General features: G+C 40.5%; 1 long non-coding RNA gene across 1 annotated transcript in view; it reads right to left on the minus strand.

Annotated features, from left to right (window-relative positions):
* Positions 1 to 8049: 8049 nt before the first annotated feature.
* The window catches only part of LOC105373579 (uncharacterized), a 33603-nt gene continuing 21599 nt past the window's right edge, over positions 8050 to 20053 (minus strand). The window contains exon 3 of the long non-coding RNA XR_923251.3: positions 8050 to 8376. This is a non-coding gene — a long non-coding RNA (uncharacterized LOC105373579). The remainder of the gene's footprint in view (positions 8377 to 20053) is intronic.

Here is a 20053-nt window from a genome sequence, read left to right on the forward strand (position 1 = left end):
GCAATAAACATATGTATGCATGTGTCTTTATAATAGAATGATTTATAATTCTTTGGGTATATACCCAGTAATGGATGGCTGAGTCAAATGGTATTTCTGGTTCTAGATCCTTGAGGAATCACCACACTGTCTTCCCCAATGTTTGAACTAATTTACACTCCCATGAACAGTGTAAAAGTGTTCCCATTTCTCCACATCCTCTCCAGCATCTATTATTTCCTGACTTTTTAATGATCGCAATTTAACTGGTGTGAGATGGCATCTCATTGTGGCTTTGATTTCCATTTCTCTAATGACAAGTGATGATGAGCTTTTTTTCATATGTTTGTTGGCTGCATAAATGTCTTCTTTTGAGAAGTGTCTGTTCATAGCCTTCACCTACTTTTTGATGGGGTTGTTTGTTTTTTTCTTGTATATTTGTTTAAGTTCCTTGTATATTCTGGATATTAGCCCTTTGTCAGATGGATGGACTACAAAAATTTTCTCCCATTCTGTAGGTTGCCTGTTCACTCTGATGGTAGTTTCTTTAGCTGTGCAGAAGCTCTTTAGTTTAATCAGATCCCATATGTCAATTTTGGCTTTTGTTGTCATTGCTTTTGATGTTTTAGTCTTGAAGTATTTGCCCATGCCTATGTCCTGAATGATATTGCCTAGGTTTTCTTCTAGGGTTTTTATGGTCTTAGGCTTTACATTTAAGTCTTTAATCCATCTTGAGTTAATTTTTGTATAAGGTGTAAAGAAGGGGTCCAGTTTCAGTTTTCTGCATATGGCTAGCCAGTTTTCCCAACAGTGTTTATTAAATAGGGAATCTTTCCCCATTTCTTGTTTTTGTCAGGTTTGTCAAAGACCAGATGGTTGTAGATGTGTGGCATTATTTCTGAGGCCTCTGTTCTGTTCCATTGGTCTATATATCTGTTTTGATACCAGTACCATGCTATTTTGATTACTGTAGCCTTGTAGTATAGTTTGAAGTCAGGTAGCATGATGCCCCCAGCTTTGTTCTTTTTGCTTAGAATTGTCTTGGCTATACAGGCTCTTTTTTGATTCCATATGAAATTTAAAGTAGTTTTTCTAATTCTGTGAAGAAAGTCAATGGTAGCTTGATGGGGATAGCATTGAATCTATAAATTACTTTGGGCAGTATGGACATTTTCATGATATTGATTCTTCCTACCCATGAGCATGGAATATTCTTCCATTTGTTTGTGTCCTCTCTTATTTTCTTGAGCAGTGGTTTGTAGTTCTCCTTGAAGAGGTCCTCCACATCCCTTGTAAGTTGGATTCCTAGGTATTTTATTCTCTTTGTAGCAATTGTGAATGGGAGTTCACTCATGATTTGTCTCTTTGTCTATTATTGGTGTATAGGAGTGCTTGTGATTTTTGCACATTGATTTTGTATCCTGAGACTTTGCTGAAGTTGCTTATCAGCTTAAGGAGATTTTGGGCTGAGACAATAGGGTTTTCTAAATATACAATCATGTCATCTGCAGACATGGACAATTTGACTTCCTCTTTTCCGATTTGAATACCCTTAATTTCTTTCTCTTGCCTGATTGCCTGGCCAGAACTTCCAAAACTATGTCGAATATAAGTGGTGAGAGAGGGCATCCTTGTCTTGTGCTGCTTTTCAGAAGGAATGCTTCCAGTTTTTTCCCATTCAGTATGATATTGGCTGTGGGTTGGTCATAAATAGTTCTTATTATTTTGAGATCTGTTCCATCAATACCTCATTTATTGAGAGTTTTTAGCTTGAAGGGGTGTTGAATTTTATCGAAGCCCTTTTTTGCATCTATTGAGATAATCATGTGGTTTTTGTCATTGGTTCTGTTTATGTAATGGATTACGTTTATTGATTTGTGTATGTTGGACCAGGCTTGCATCCCAGGGATGAAGCCAACTTGATCGTGGTGGATAAGCTTTTTGATGTACTGCTGGATTCAGTTTGCCAGTATTTTATTGAGGATTTTTGCATCGATGTTCATCAGAGATATTGGTCTGAAATTCTCTTTTTTGTTGTGTCTCTGCCAGGTTTTGGTATCAGGATGATGATGGCCTCATAAAATGAGTTAGGGAGGAGTCCCTCTTTTTCTATTGTTTGGAATAGTTTCAGAAGGAATGGTACCAGCTCCTCTTTGTACCTTTGGTAGAATTCAGCTGTGAATCCGTCTGGTCCTGGGCTTTTTTTGGTTGGTAGGGTATTAATTATTGCCTCTATTTCAAAACTTGCTATTGGTCTATTCAGGGATTTGACTTCTTCCTGGTTTAGTCTGGAAAGGGTGTATGCATCCAGGAATTTATCCATTTCTTCTATATTTTCTAGTTTATTTTCATAAAGGTGTTTATAGTATTCTCTGATGATAGTTTGTATTTCTGTGGGATCAGTGGTGATATCCCCTTTATCATATTTTATTGTGTCTATTTGATTCTTCTCTCTTTTCTTCTTTATTAGTCTGGCTAGCAGTCTATCTATTTTGTTAATCTTTTCAAAAAACCAGCTCCTGGATTCATTGATTTTTTTGAAGGGTTTTTCATGTCTCTATCTACTTCAGTTCTGCTCTGATCTTAGTTATTTCTTGCCTTCTGCTAGCTTTTGAATGTGTTTGCTCTTGCTTCTGTAGTTCTTTTAATTGTGATGTTAGGGTGTTAATTTTAGATCTTTTCAGTTTTCTCCTGTGGGCTTTTAGTGCTATACATTTCTGTCTAAACACTGCTTTAGCTGTGTCCCAGAGATTGTGGTACATTGTGTCTTTGTTCTCATTGGTTTCAAAGAATTTATTTATTTCTGCCTTAATTTTGTTATTTACCCAGTAGTCATTCAGGAGCAAGTTATTCAGTTTCCATGTAGTTGTGCAGTTTTGAGTGAGTTTCTTAATCCTGAGTTCTCATTTGATTGCACTGTGGTCCGAGAGACTGTTTGTTATGATTTCCATTCTTTTGCATTTGCTGAGGAGTGTTTTACTTCCATTTATGTGGTCAGTTTTAGAATAGGTGCAATGTGGTGCTGAGAAGAATGTATATTCTGTTGATTTGGGGTGAAGAGTTCTGTAGATGTCTATTAGATCTGCTTGGTCCAGAGCTGAGTTCAGGTCCTGAATATTCTCGTTAATTTTCTGTCTCGTCGATCTAATATTGACAGTGGAGTGTTAAAGTCTCCCACTATTGTTGTGTGGAGTCTAAGTCTCTTTGTAGGTCTCTAAGAACTTGCTTTATGAATCTGGGTGCTCCTGTATTGGGTGCTTATATATTTTGGATAGTTAGCTCTTCTTGTTCCATTGATCCCTTTACCATTATATAATGCCCTTCTTTGTCTCTTTGGATATTTGTTGGTTTACAGTCTGTTTTATCAGATACTAGGATTGCAACCCCTGCTTTCCATTTGCTTGGTAAATATTCCTCCATCCCTTTATTTTGAGCCTACATGTGTCTTTGCATGTGAGATGCATCTCCTGAATACAGCACTGATGGGTCTTGAATCTTTATCCAATTTGCCAGTCTATGTCTTTTAATTGGGGCATTTAGCCACCCATTTATATTTAAGGTTAATATTGTTACATGTGAATTTGATCCTGTCATTATGATGCCAGCTGGTTATTTTGCCCATTAGTTGATGGAGTTTCTTCATAGGGTTGATGGTCTTTACCATTTGGCATGGTTTTGCAGTGACTGGTTCCAGTTTTTCCTTTCCATATTTAGTGCTTCCTTCAGGAGCTTTTGTAAGGCAGGCCTGGCGGTGACAAAATCTCTCAGCATTTGGTTGTCTGTAAAGGATTTTATTTCTTCTTCACTTATGAAGTTTAGTTTGGCTGGATATGAAATCCTGGGTTGAAAATTATTTTCTTTAAGAATGTTGAATATTGGCCCCCACTCTCTTCTGGCTTGTAGGGTTTCTGCAGAGAGGTCCACTGTTAGTCTGATGGGCTATCCTTTGTCAGTAACCTGATGTTTCTCTCTGGCTGCCTTTAACATTTTTTCCTTCATTTCATCCTTGGAGAATCTGATGATTATGTGTCTGGGGTTGTTCTTCTTGACGAGTATCTTTGTGGTATTCTCTGTATTTCCTGAATTTGGATGTCGGCTTGTCTTGCTAGGTTGGGGAGGTTCTCCTGGATAATAGCCTGAAGAGTGCTTTCCAACTTGGTTCCATTCTCCCCATCACTTTTAGGTACGCCAATCAAACATAGGTTCGGTCTTTTCACATAGTACCATATTTCTTGGAGGCTTTGTTCGTTCCTTTTCATTCTTTTTTCTCTAATGTTGTATTCACACTTTATTTCATTAAGTTGATCTTCAATCTCTGATATCCTTTCTTCTGCTTGATTGATTCATCTATTGATACTTGTGTATGCTTCATGAAGTTCTCATGCTGTGTTTTTCAGCTCCATCAGGTCATTTATGTTCTTCTCCAAACTGGTTATTCTAGTTAGCAATTCCTCTAACCTTTTTTCAAGGTTCTTAGCTTCCTTGCGTTGGTTTAGAACATGATCCTTTAGCTCGGAGGAGTTTGTTATTACCCACCTTTTGAAGCCCACTTCTGTCAATTTGTCAAACTCGTTCTCGATCCAGTTTTGTTCTCTTGCTGGTGAGGAGTTGTGATCCTTGGGAGGAGAAGCAGAGTTTTGGAATTTTTCAGCCTTTTTGCACTGGTTTTTCCTCATCTTCATGGATTTATCTACCCTTGGTCTTTTATGTTGGTGACCTTCGGATGGGGTTTGTGTGGACATCTTTTTTGTTGATGTTGATGCTATTCCTTTCTGTTTGTTAGTTTTCCTTCTAACAGTCAGGGCCCTCTGCTGCAGGTCTGCTGGAGTTTGCTGGAGGTCCACTCGAGATCCTGTTTGCCTGGGTATCACCAGCGGAGGCTGCAGAACAGCAAAGATTGCTGCCTGTTCCTCTGGAAGCTTGGTCCCAGAGGGGCACCTGCCAGATGCCAGCCAGAGCTCTCCTGTATAAGGTGGCTGTCGACCCCTGCCCGGAGGTGTCTCCCAGTCAGGAGGCACAGGGGTCAGGGACTCACTTGAGGAGGCAGTCTGTCCCTTAGCAGAGCCTGAGTGCTGTAATGGGAGAACTGCTGCTCTCTTCAGAGCCAGCAGGCAGGAATGTTTAAGTCTGCTGAAGCTGCAACCACAGCCATCCCTTCCCCCAGGTGCTCTGTCCCAGGGAGATGGGGGTTTTATCTATAAGCCCCTGACTGGGGCTGTTGCCTTTCTTTCAGAGATGCCCTGCCTAGAGAGGAGGAATCTAGAAAGGCAGTTTGGCTACAAGGGCTTTGCTGAGCTGCAATGGGTTCCACCCAGTCCAAACTTCCCAGCGGCTTTGTTTACACTGTGAAGGGAAAACCATCTACTCAAGCCTCAGTAATGGCAGACACCCCAGCCCCACACCAAGCTTGAGTGTCCCAGGTGGACTTCAGACTGCTGTGTTGGCGGTGAGAATTTCAAGCCAGTGGATCTTAGCTTGCTGGGTTCCATGGGGATGGGATCTGCTGAGCTAGAAGACTTGGCTCCCTGGCTTCAGTCCCCTTTCCAGAGGAGTGAATGGTTCTCTCTCACTGGCATTCCGGGTGCCACTGGATTATGAAAAAAAACTCCTGCAGCTGGCTCGGTGTCTGCCTAAATGGTTGGCTAGTTTTGTGCTTGAAACCTAGGGCCCTGGTGGTGTAGGCACCTGAGGGAATCTCCTGGTTTGCAGGTTGCAAAGACCGTGGGAAAAGTGTAGTATCTGGGCAGGAACGCACTGTTCCTCATGGCATAGTCCCTCATGGCTTCCCTTGGCTAGGGGAGGGAGTTCCCTGACCCCTTGTGCTTTCTGGGTGAGGTGATGCCCCCCCTGCTTCAGCTTGCCCTCCGTGGGCTGCACCCACTGTCTAACCAGTCCCAGTGAGATCAGCCAGGTACCTCAGTTAGAAATGCAGAAATCACCCACCTTCTGTATTGATCTTGCTGGGAGCTGCAGACTGGAGCTGTTCCTATTTGGCCATCTTGCCTGATGAGATAAATTTAACCCTGATTTCAGTGAGACAGAAGTGAACATGAGAGGGAGCTGTTCAGAATAAGGTGTTTATGAGCTATGAAGATACTCTGTGTTGCTGAGAGATGGTCCCACCATTTAGTGGGACAGACAGAAGATAAAACACCTATGTTGAGAAGGAGGAATATAAAGTGAAAATTTGAGGGAACATTACAATTTTGCAAAGAAACAGTTCTGACCTGGAACATCTGAAAAGAGCATCTGGTATGTGCGGACATGTGTGAAGATGCTCATGTAATTGGGGAAGTCAGGGAAAATCTCCCAGAGGGAGACTGGAGCCAGGGCCAGTAGAAACAGTGTGTGCATGGCAGATGCTTCCAGGCAGATGTGTGCGTCCAGGCTCTGGGAGTCACAGCACCAGGACAGCTGGGTGGCTGGGATCCTCCAGCTCCTCCTTAGCTGCCTGGCCAAAGACACAGCTGGCTCTGGCATGCGCATGGGAATGCCTTTGGAATCCCATGCAAGCTTTATGGATACTGATTCTGGTATAGAAGCAAGTGTTGTCTAAAGTGTCATAACAGACAGAAATGGGGACAATTCTAGGTAGACTGTTCCCAGATGCAAATGATCTCCCAGAAAGAGAATAAAACCATGCTTTAAAAGTTAAAATATTTCTTTGTTGCTTGATTCATTTGTTCATGTTTTTCATTTGTTTATCAGATATTTGTTGAGTGTTTCCTCTGTGGCAGGTACTACACTAGGTGCTGAGAATATAGGTGACCCAGACACTGCTTGTGTCCCAAAGGGGCTCACATCCATTGGAAAAGACAGAAGTTAATGAGTAAGCAAGGAAGAGTGGGAGGTGCTGAGGACACCCCCTCAGGAGGGGGGATACAATAATTACACCCAGAAGTATTAAGCGAGTGAATTCTGAGTGACCCTGGATGTCCAGAGGGGTTTCTTTCCTGTTTCCCCTAAAGACAGATAGAGAATAGCAGCCTCTCCCACACAATATAAGAAGAAAATCTAAATCTGTGCAGAGAATCTGTGTTTTGGTGACACACAGCGGTAGGAAACTCTCAGGTTTGTGTCTTCTTTAGCAAACCAGATCTCCCTGCCTCCCATCCTCTGACCCCACCTCTCCACCACTGAGAAGAGCAGTGGATGAGCAAGTATGAGACAAAAGGAGCCTGTAGAAACTTGAACTTGGCTGTTGGTAACATTTATCCAGATATGCAATGCCTTGGTTTGGCCCTCTAGGAACTAAGGCAATTCACAGGATTCAGGAGTGAGTACTAAAAACGACCCCCACTATCATAGAAGTGTGGCAGATGAGCCCACAATGTGTTTCCACAGTTAAAAAATAAATTACCACAAAAAATAACAGAAAATGTTCATATTCTACTGTTCTTGTTTATGTAACATCAAATACCTGAGCATTCACAATATCTCGAGGTTGAACATCCTGCAGAATGACATCAACTATCATGTCTTGAGATACTACCAAATGTCAGGTATAGTGTTAAGTGCTTCATAGGCATAATCTCATTTGAGCCTCATCTTTTATTATGATCTCATTTTATATATTAAGAAACTGGGGTTCAACTGAGGTTTCTTAACTTGTCCGAATTCACACAATGTGTGAATAGTAGATCCTGTATTCAAACCTGAGTTGGCTTTCTTTTCAATACATGATTCTTTCTTTACAAGCACCTAGCTATTCCTAAGAAATACCTGAGTATTTTCTTATGGATTGATGGCTGGGTAAATGCATTATCTTATAAGTTTCTAAAAACAGGTTGCCTTACTATTAATAGCTGTTTTCTATGCTTATGTACACTCTACTGGACTGCGGATGACAATGTGCTGGAAGTCATGTGTCTCATCTCTGTCTTCACATGTCACACAGCAGCCAGCAGAGGGCTGAACCCATTCTAAGTATTCACAATTGACCACAATCCACAAATCAGTGGAATAAAATGTCCACCATTGTAGACTAACTCACTCAGTTTAGGACTGTGCCCAATTCACTGGGAACTCCTTCCTTCTTTGTCTTTGGGAAAAGCCTGGACCATTATTTATTAAACTTTTAAGATTTATTATTTATTGAGGCTCCTCTATGTCAGGGGTAAGCAAACTAAGACATGGTTCCCATCTTTAACAAGGTCATAGAGCAGTTGGAGAAACAGACATTTAAGCAATTACAATGCAAGGCTGTGTTCAACACTGGACAGCTGCATAGCCAGTCTTCTGTCAGAGTGCAGAGGCACAACCATGCCACTGCAGCGGGTGGAGTTGGGGCAGGTCTCTCTGAAGCAGTGGTCATTAGGGAAGCAATCATGGCCAGAGAGGCCTCAAAGCAGAACCGGAAGCATGCTCAAAGGTCCAGAGCTGGGAACTTGATGCCTCCTAGGAAATAAAAAAATCCATCATGACGAGAATGTGCTCTGCAAGGTGGGCAATGCTGAGAGATAAGGCTGAGAAGTAGCAAGGGGACACATTATGAAGGACTAAGAAATAGGGCTTTTTCTGGCTATAAAACAAAGCTAATGAGATTGAGTGTTTATCATCTCCAAATGTTCCCAGCCAACAGGAAGCTTTGGCATTGTTGCTTCTTTCCCATTACTGAGGTTCCTAAAGTTTTTTTCTTGTCCAGGAAATCCCCTCCAATGACAGTTCTTCATCCACTGAGCAGCCAAATGTGCCCCCTTCACTCTGTCCATCACCATGCAGGACAGGGTGGCATGGAGCTGCAGCCCGACGCCTCCCCAGGCTGAGTTTAGAAAAAGGCAGGGCAGCTGCCTGCCCGGCCTCCACCAGGCTCGCCCAGCAAATGGTTTTCTCCAGGCCTAATTAAGGATGACTTGATGTCTATAAGCCTACACTTAAGTCTTTGTTGGCTTGCTATTGTTTCCACTGAGCATGACAAGGTCTAGGAGCTTCAGTCTGGCTGTCTCAGCCAAGTGCCAAAGGCAAAATTAACAAAAAGAAAATCACTACTTTCATTCACTAAACATGCCCATTTACTTGTTTTTCTATTTTATTGCATTAGTCATTGCTATAAACCCAGCGTGGTCTCCTTTTTTATTTTCTTTGTATTGTAGTAATATCCCAAAGCCAGGTGAGTACTCAAGTCATGAGACAGACCTATCCCCCATGTCCAGGGATGCCAGGTGAAACTCCCACAAGCAGCTCCTCCACAGGCACCCCCAGAGGCTCCCAGGTCTAGCAAGCCTGTGTTGCTGCACCCTTCAGAGTCCCTCTGAGAGATCAATGTGATTGGTTGTATCAGTCATTATCATTCTAGTACATGATGTTGACCAGATCATTGCTTTCTTTATTCCAAAAACTAGAGTTGCCAGATTTAGCAAAAAAAGTAAAAGACATCCAGTTAAAATCTTCATTTCAGATAGGCAATAAATAATTATTCAGTATAAGTATACCTCCTATGGTTTTAGGAATAGGCTTATACTACTAACACTTTATTTTATCTACCACCAACTCAACTCTTCAAACAAATATTGAGTGCCATCTCAGTACTGAGCACTGTGCTTGGTGCCAGAGAGTCAAGCATGAATCAGACGCAGTTTTTCATCTTAGGGGGTTCAAAGGCTAGTGAAGGTGAGATTAGTAAACAGCTGAAATATGTACACCCTGATACTGACAATTCCCCCCCACCCACACTCACCCAGATATACATGCACAGGCACAAATTATAGGTGAATATCATTCACAAATATAAACATAAACATAATGTGAATTAATAAAATGTTAGCACATTGGAAACTATTCAGGATTACAGAAAGAAGAGTAATTTGCTTCAACCAACTAAGATTCAACCCTAGAAGACACGAGAGAACTTAAGATTTGAATATCTGTTGATATAATACATCACATTATTATGTCAAAACAAATCTGATAATCTTAACATGTATTAGAAGAGCTTGACCAAGTTCATCCCTGATTTTTAAAAAAACACTCAAAAGCAGGAATATATAGGTAAGTCCTTAATATGATAAAATATAGAAGAAACGTTCGTTTCTAATTATGAGAAACACAACAGAAAGTCTTAAAAAAATGGGATTAGATAAATGTCGTGTGTGTGTGTGTGTGTGTGTGTGTGTGTGTGTGTGTGTATACCAAACCAAAAGTGAGAATCATGCTTAGTGGCAAATAGTAGAATGTCTTCTTTAAAGCTGGGAATGGTTATCATTATAATTATTATTTAATATTATACTGGAAGTGGTTACCATTTCAATTAGACAAAATAAAGAAATAATAGATATAAATACTATATCATGTAATATATATTTATATAATAATATAAATAGAATAAAAATTTCATTAACAATGTCAACCAAAGATATAATATCTACATGCTAACTTATTTAGCATATGTGCAGGTCCCAAATAAAGAAAACTTTAAACGCAAGAGTCTCAAAAATAGTTACGTACCAACAAAAGATGCACTAGCCTCTTGGCATAGAAAGCCTCAATTTTATAAAGACACCATCTGTCTCAAAATTAATTTCAAAATGTAAATGTAATTATAACACCAAAAGGATTTTTGTAGTTGTTGTTATCAAAATTTTTTGAAACTTAACAAAGTTATGCAAAATTCACCTGAAAAAACAAACATCCAAAAAAAAAGGAAAATGAGAGGAGGCAACTTTTACCAGATATTAAAATGCATTTTGCAGTTATAATAAATAAAATACTTGGAGAAAATAAATTCAGGGGTAGAAAATCACCCCCACCCACACTAACCCAGATACGCATGCACAGGCCTTCCATACCGAAATAGAATGAAGAGAACAGAAATAGACACAAATATATGTGGGTCCTAAATACAAGACAAAATAACATTTAAAAATCAGTGGGAGAAAGAGAGATTTTTTTTCATGATTTTGCAAGAACTTGGAGAAATAAGCTAGATTACTCCTTTTAACAAAAGATATTACAATTGGAGTGAAGATTTAAACATTTGACAATACAAAGCTATATAAGTTTCAGAAAACAAAAAATTAACAAGCTTTTATAAAGCAGATACATAATTGAGAGACCATAAAATAATCAAATGATACTGTTGGTGATTTAAAATTTAAAACCTGGCCAGGCTTGGTGGCATCCACCTGTAGTTCCAGCTACTGAGGAGGCTAAGGCAGGAAGATCACTTGAGCCCACGAGTTCAGGGGTATAGTATGGGATAGTCACTCCTGTGAATAGTCACTGTACTCCAACCTGGGCAACCTAATGGGACCCCATCTATTAAAATAAATAAATGAATAAATCTGTAAGCAAAGTTATATACAGAAAGTGAAAAGACAAAAAAAGGAAGTGTTACATCACAAAGGGCTAAATTTTTTAATTAACAAAGAGCTCATAAAATTCAATAAGAAATAAAGTAACATCCAACAGAAACAAATGTGCAAAGTTTGTGAATAAGCAACTAATGAAAAACATGAACAATTTCTCTCATATTTTAATAAAAGCAGCAGTAATTTTCATAATTTATCATCTGGGCAAAAATTAAAGAGTTTCATGGTATCTGGTGCTGGCAATTGTGTGGAAAAATGGGCTTCATGCACTATTGATGGACATTTAAGTTAGTATAACCTTTCTAGACAACAATTTGGTGATATCTACCAGAAGTGGAAATGCATGTTTGCTTCCTTTGGCTGCTAAGATCACTTGTAGGAATTTATCTTTGGAACATATGCATATTTTTGTAAACAATTCCAGAACAGATATACAAGTTTATTCACTGCCATGTTGTTTGTAATTTTGAAGGGGGAGGAGGAAAATAAAAGTGGAAACAAAGTGTCCATCAGTAGGGTACTCACTAAAACTTATTTATGATATATCCATATGGTGAGCAAATATGCAACTGGTAAAAAGAATGAATTATAAGGTTTGTGCTTATGTGATATTAGAATGAAATATCACACAGAGATGAATGGTATATCGTGGCATATTATAGTCTCGTGTTAAATATATGTTTTGTGTGACCATAATGTATAAATATATTGTGCAAAAATATACAGAATATGTATTTTATATATATATATACAGAGAGAATCATAAATACTGATACATGCATGTCTTTCTTGTAAAAAACAAAAATTTTTACTAATGTTGAAAGTAAAAAGAGGGGAAGATTACCTTCCATTTTCTTCCTTTCGCTATACATTGGATTTTCTAAGCACGCATGTGTATTTTCATTTTTCTCCTATACCAGCTGGAGTTATTTCAAGCTGTGGGATTAAAGGTTATTTTTTGTTTTCTTTAAAAATGTACTATCTCTATTTTTAAGTCAGGCAAATTTTTCTTAGGACACGGTGTGATGACCACAGCCAAGGCAATGCTCAGAAGGCTGAGTCTCCTGATGCTGAGGCTCTTGCTTGTTCTCTGACTCCTTCTTTCTCTTCCAGTGTGGCTCCGCGTCCATCATGGTCTTAGGTTCCCTTCCTCTGCCCAAGTCCCATCACAAGTGCAGAATCACTGCAGTTGGATTAACTGGACCCAGCCACAGCTGAGTATTAAATGAAATCATATGTGGCTTTGGTAAGTGATCAAGAAATGCTAGCTTTCCTTTGCTTTTTGTTTTCCTTTTCAGTTTTGTTTTTCCTCTTCTTATGGTGATGAGGAGAGGGGAAAGAAGGCTACTGCTGTCATAACCCTAAGCATCACCTCCCAATGTGACACTTAAGTTTATGACAAGACGTAGCAGTAGGAGCCTTCAGCCTCATATCCTCCAGCTGCAGAGGAGTTAATTCTTCAATCTGTCTCTCCATGATGAGGTGCCCAACCCCAGGGAGCTGCGCAATCCCAGCGGCTGATGGGATCCCCGCAGGCTCTCCTGGGGTAAGCCTGGTCTTCACCAATTCTTATTTCTTCATCACTTGATTTACAGACACACACCTATGACCTGCAGGTCTCTGGGCGTGAGCATCCAAACAGAAAAGAGTCATTAAAGTTCAATCAGACCTGGTGGGTAAAGTTCCAAGTCCGCTGTGAGCCCAGAGCTGGGAAACCTAAGCTCTCTATTAAGGACCGCCGGCAACCCCAGCCCTGTGCGGGTGGAGACAGTCTGTAGTACCTGTTTCGATTCTCCAACCAGAACTGCAGGGCAAGATCTTATTGTTATTATTGCTTGGAGAACTTAGCTTGCATTTTTTTTCCCCTTTGGAATTTTACAATTCTCCTTTAAAATAACTCAAGAAAATTCATAGTTTTAAAGCTTTTTACTATTCAAAAACATATGAAGACAATGAAGAGGGTCTGTAGGACACAGCCTCTGCAGTAGACACATTTGGATGAAATCCCAAGTCTGGCACTCAGAAGCAGAGCCAGAATTTGAGTTTCCAGCTTTAGCTAGCTCATTTGTCAACAAGGATAATAACATTCTCTGCTTCAGGATTAAATTAGGCAACAAATGCAATGCACTTAACAAAAGCCAGGCATACACTAAGCCCACAAGTGATGCTGGCTATTACTGTTACGGGTTGGCACACAGGTGGTGACTTATAGGTGAACTCTAGAGGCAGAGTGCCCAGGGTTTCAATCCAGACTTTGCCAAGTGCTGTTTGCATGATTCTGTGAAGTTATTTAACCTTTTGTGCCCCAGTTTACTCATCTGGAAAATGGGAATGAAAATGGCACCTGCATCGTGTAGTGGTTGTAAGAATTAAATTAGTTAATATATGCAAAGTGCTGTTGAAGGCCTAGCACATAGTAGGTACTAAACTCATGTTGTTGTGCATCAACTATTTACATTTTACATTTTTTTTCTTTTTCAACTTTTAGAATCAGGGAGTACATGTGCAGGTTTGTTACAAAGGTATACCGCATGATGCTGAGGTTTGGGGTGTGATTGAACCTGTCACCCAGGTAGTGAGCATAATAACCAATAGATAGGTTTTCAGCCTTTGCCTCCCTCCCTCCCTCCTGCTTTGGTAATACCCAGCGTCTATTGTTGCCATCTTTATGTCCATGAGTACCTGATGTTTAGCTTGCACTAGTAAGGCAGAACATGTGCTATTTGTTTTGCTATTCCTACATTAGTTCACTTAGGATGGAGGCCTTCAGCTGCATCCATGTTGCTGCAAAGGACAAGATTTTGTTTTGTTTTGTTTTGTTTTATGGCTGTGTTGTATCCCATGGTGTATATGAACCACATTTTCTTTATGCAGTCCACCGTTGATGGGCACCTGGGTTGATTCTGTTTTTGCTATTGTGAATAATTCTGTGATGAACCTACAAGTGAATGTGTCCTTTGGGTTAAATTACTTTATATCTTTGACATATACACCCAGTAATGTGACTGCTGAGTCAAATGGTAGTTCAACTCTTAGATCTTTGAGAAATCTCCAAACTGCCTTCCATGGTGGCTGGACTAAGTTATATTCCCACCAACATTCCCACTGTTATCTTTTGACTTTTCAACAAGAGCCATTCTGACAGGTATGAGAACAGTATCTCATTGTGGCTTTGATTTGTATTTCTCTGATGATTAGTGATGATGAGCATTTTTTCATGTTTCTTGGTCGCTTATATGTTTTCTTATGAGAATAAATATTTTTAAAAGTATTATTGATAAAAAAATCTAATGAAGAAATTCAAAATAGCAAAATAAAACAAAAAAATTCATGCACACAACAAACCCCAAGGAAAGCAAGTAGGAGGCAATAATGAAACAAAATCAGAAAACTAATTTTAAAAACAGGAAAACAGAATTGATAAATAAATTCAAATGAAATACCTCCCCCCACCACACACACACACACACACACACACACACAAACACAAAACACTAAAACACACGAGCCTCTGGTGAACAATGAAGGGATATGAGCCGTAAATAAAATCAGCAACTATGAGCTCAGGTTCCCCCAATTTGAAGTTTTAAATCCCTTTGGGTGGAGGTGGGCCCGGTGTAGCCAGTAGCTGATGGAGTCCTTGCTGGCAGAGGGTCTGCTTTGGTGACTTGTGATTTGTCTCTAGTGGAGTTGTTTCCACCTCTCCTGGCCTGGATATTGGCCACTTGGTGCCAGCCGTCCTGCCCCAAGCCGGGACTTTCTTTGTCATCACCCATCTCTCTATTGGCCTCTGAGGACAGCCCTGATGTCGGCACCATCCTTTCTGGGAGATCTGACTCAGACCTCCTCCTACTGTCCTAGCAGGGCCCGGGACACCCTGTTCCTCAGCCAGCTTCCTGCAAAGCAGCCCACTAGCACACCTGTGGGCTGTCTTAAGACTTGAGACCCAATTTGAGAAATGATGAAAGAGATTTTCCACTCGCCTCATGTAGTATGGTGTTTTGTTTTGTTTTGTTTTGTATTTGTATCCATGGGGGATTGATTTCAGCACCTGTGTCAATGCCAAAGTCCTCAGATGCTCAAATCTTTTCTATAAAATGGCATAGCATTTGCATACAACCTACACATGTGCTCCTATATAATTTAAATCATCTCTAGATGACTTATAGTACCTAATACAATGTAACTGATATGTAAGTAAGCATTATACTCTATTGTTTAGGGAATAATGACAAGAAAAATGGTCTTCACATGTTGAGCAAAGATGCTTTTTTCCCCAAATATTTTCCATGCATAATTGGTTGTTGAATCCATGAGTGCAGAACACGCAGATATGGAGGGTGAACAATCTATCCCCTGGGTCCCCTCTGCATCAAAGACCTTGGGAAATAGATGCTATTCAATAAGCATGAAAATTCATGCTGGGATCTGTGGAATACTGGGCTGGTATGGTAGTGTGTTATGAAGTATAAGAAAAATAATTGACTTTCTACTGCTTTCCAAGAGAAAAAAGAGTTGAAAGGAGAAAAAAATCCAGATATTGGGTACAACCAAGAATATGTCAAAAGAGTAAACAAGAGAGTGTTTGCAAATTCCAAGTGCCTGGCCCCGTTAGTGAGTGTCATGAGCAGGCAGGGAAGGGAAGAAATGGCCCTGTTGTAGTCATGGATGTAAGCCTTGATGGACAGAGAGCCAGGTGACAGACAGAGCCAGAGAGCAGGGGAAGGATCGTCACCGTCAGTAGTACATATTGAGCAGTTCGTCCACTCCATGCACTTCAATGTATTCATTCATTTAGTCTTTACAACTTCCCTATGTGGAAGGTGCCACTGCATGGCCATTTCACAGATGAGAAGACTGACGCACAAGGAAGTTAAGTACTCAGGCCTGTTCTTTTTTTTTTTCTTGAGACGGAGTCTTGCACTGTTGCCCAGGCTGGAGTATAGTGGCAAGATCTTGGCTCACTGCAACTGCTACCTCCCGGGTTCAAGTGATTCTCCTGCCTCAGCCTTCCGAGTAGCTGGGATTACAGGGGCCCCCACCAGACCTGGCTAATTTTTTGTATTTTTAGTACAGACAGGGTTTCACTATGTTGGCCAGGCTGTGGCTCACGCCTGTAATCCCAGCACTTTGGGAGGCCAAGGGTGCAGGCCTGTGTTCTTAACCACCCTGCAGAGCTGCCAGGTAAGACTGTGGTTATATTCAGAGTTGGCCACTTACTCATAGCCTCAGTTTCTTTATCCTTAAAATGGAGGTAGTAATACTAACCTCATAGGGCTGAAGGGGCCAAAATGAAATAACATAGGTAAAGTCTCTGGCATACAGTTGATGCTCAGACATCCCTGGCCATTGCCTCCTAGTCCCACCAAACCTACCTTTGAGCATTATTGACAGATATGTTAGTTCATGCCACGTGTGGTCACCATTTCTGAAATACCCATGAGATTTCTGACTCAATGGCTTTGCTCTGACTCAAAGGCTTCTCTAAATTGGGGGCTTCCCAATTTCTGGAAACCTGGAGTTAAAAGGAAGAGGCATCCCAGATAGAAATGATTTCCTCGAGCTGGAGTGCCTTTTCCTTCTATTTCCAGGTTTCCAGAAGCTGGGGAGCCTCTGAGCCCCCACCTATGTAGCATTTACCCTGTGAAATCCCATCAGTTCCCTCCAGTGTTGAGTCATGTTTCTTCCCTTTGTGCTCCCCTGGCTCTTTGTGGGGGCTGTTCCTGAGAGCCCTGGGTCTCAGCTTTGTCACCTAGAAAAGGGGATAATAACATCCAGTCTGTAGGAACTGTGTAAAGTATGCAAGCTGTGTAACGTTCTGTAACTTTCACAGAACGCAATTAGCACCTAATAAGTGGTGCCTGTTATAATCATTATTGCTGGGCAAAGGCTTTCTCATATTACAGTTACCATTGGGCCAGGTTTATATTTCCTCCTAGATGAGGGATTAGGGCAGGAATGTTATTAAATCATGTTTTGTTCTCCCCACGTTGTCTAGCACACAGCCCGGAGCATAATAGATGCTCAGAAAATGTGGAATGAAGTGAACAAGTATGAAGCTAGAGACCACACAAATGGGGGAGGCTGGTCCCTGTAATAGGAATGAGGCTCTTTCCACATTTGCTGCACGCTTACAGTCCGCAAAGCCTCATGCTACGTGCTCTAGAGGGTATCAGAAGGAACACGTTGAAATGCTCTCTCACCCCAAGGGCTAGCATTGTGGTTGAGCCTAAGTGGGAGGGCACAGCACAGGGTTTATCAGCAAAGCACAGAGATTCCCGAAGCATTGAGGCCACCCTTGGGAAGGTTGAAAACGAGGTCAGGCAGGACACAAGTCCTGTGGCTGTAGGGATGCTGCTCTTTTTATCTACTGCTGTGTGTCTCTTGTCTAGCCAGGTATCCTGGCAGCTGCCCTGATAACAACATTTGTTAAATGGATGAAATGTGGAAAGGCTTCCTGAGGAGGATGAGAGAAATGGTGTGGGGTGTTCGGTAGGAACAGCGTTGATGACAAACTATTGGGAAGAAATTATATATACAACAGTAGGAAAATGATTAGCTAAATTATGATACTTCATTCAATGTAATTATTTATAGTCATTTAAAATTAGGTTTATGAAGACCTTATACCAAGGAAGAATGCTTTTTGTTTTATTTTTAGTGAAAAACACAATGATAGAAAAATTCAGAAACCCTAACATTGTAACTATTAAAGCTATATATAAAGACTAGGAACAAACACACTAGATGTTACTAGTAGCTTGCTCCAAATCCTAGGTTTATGAATAATTTTTTCACCTCTCTTTTGTTCTATTTTTCAAAATTTCTATGACCATGAGCAACTTTGATCATAGAAAAAGAATGAAATTATAAATTGTATAACATATCTACATTGATTAAAGTATTTTCTAGAAATAATTTATGAATTCTATTGGATTATCCATAATTGGTAATCCTCTTCCTTTCCTGATTTTAATAATTTAGAAGATATTGAATATGTATTGTGTACATCATATTTTGGGTGCATTCAGGTGAATCTCTGCAAATACTCTTTAACATGAGAATGTATTTATCGCATATGTGTATATACATCGGAAATACACACACACACACACAGGAAGGGGATATAGTTAGCGTGGAGGGAGATGGACAGGTGGCTAGACTGATGGGGAATAGAATAGGGATAATAGATTCTTAGTGTGTACTCAGAAGTTCAAAGATGTGTTACAGAACTGAGAGAGCCCAGGACAGTCTACCAAAAACACACCCTCTCTCTGGAATGGACTGAGGATTTGAGAGAGAAACGAGACAACAGAGACAATGTATGAGTCCCTTCCTTTCCATCTCTCTCTTGTTCTCTCACTTTCACCTCCCATTCTCTGCCCCCGCCCGACACCCCTTTTCCTCCCTCTCCCTCCTTCTGTCTCTTCTCTGACTGCCTCATGAGCTGTCCAGCCCCAGGGGCTGCTGTCATAAAACACACCATCCATGAGCATTTTGCTGGCTGGGAAGAGGCAATCAGGACTTTGGCAAAACGTTTCTGACAAAGACAAATGCCAAAAGTGGTCAAAATGGGCTGATTTTTGAGAGAAAAAAATATATTTTTTGACCTGGCTGGGCATTTGGGGGTTGTGTTTTGAAAATAGGTATTTAAGGTTGTACGTAATTCATTTAATGTGCAAGGAAGTTACTAATTTTATAGAGAAATGAAGATCCACAGAACTCATATTCTTCTGAGCTCTACCTCAGCCTTAGCCTGGGGTAATTACTAACTGCTTTGGTGAGAAGATAATTTTATTTTAATTCTCATGCAATAGCTGAATAACTTCCATACAAATGCCAACTACTAGTCTTTATGAGTAAATTATTGTCCTCACTATTAGGGTGTGGTAAAGAGAGAATGACATACTTTAGGAGTGATAATGCTTCTTGGATATGAGTTCTTTCTAGTCATTATAAACATAATAACCCTATTTTAAAAATAGTTTAGGTGAACATGTTGAAAGAGCACAAGTAAGAGACAAAAAATTATCATTTAAAAAATAAAACAACTATGCAGATACTACTTTGATAAAGGAGGATAAGATATTTACCTTTTAGTTCCATCTTAGAGAGAACCATGGCTTTCTGACTTTCTGTGCCTTGGGTCCCCACCATCCCCAGCCTCTCTTTTCCAACTCTTTAGACCTATGTTACTCAGCCAAGGGACAGTTCCTGCCTTGAGTATCCTTGCTCTACCTTTAAAAAAATGTGGAATGACACGCCTGTAATCCCAGCACTTTGGGAGGCCGAGGCGGGCGGATCACAAGGTCAGGAGATCAAGACCATCCTGGCTAACACGGTGAAACCCCGTCTCTACTGAAAATACAAAAAATTAGCCGGGCGTGGTGGCGGGCGCCTGTATTCCCAGCTACGCGGGAGGCTGAGGCAGGAGAATGGTGTGAACCCGGGAGGCAAAGCTTGCAGTGAGCCGAGATGGCGCCACTGCACTCCAGCCTGGGCTACAGCGAGACTCCGTCTCAAAAAAAAAAAAAAAAAAAAAAAAAGTGGATTGAAAATTTTAAAAATGTGAACTATGGTATTTTTTTTAAAGACAGAAGGCAAAAACTAAATGGAATAGTTACCATTTGTGCCAAACACTTCGCACAAATGCCGTAATGCTTTTTTATTTACAGAAACCTGCATCAGGCAACCCAGGAGCATTCTGTAGCTGGAGGGGTTTGGCTGTACCTGTAAAAAAATCTAAAATATTATTTTTATTTTTTTCT

This window comes from Homo sapiens, chromosome 2, assembly GCF_000001405.40.
Source record: "Homo sapiens chromosome 2, GRCh38.p14 Primary Assembly".
In the NCBI taxonomy this organism is placed as follows: Eukaryota; Metazoa; Chordata; class Mammalia; order Primates; family Hominidae; genus Homo; species Homo sapiens.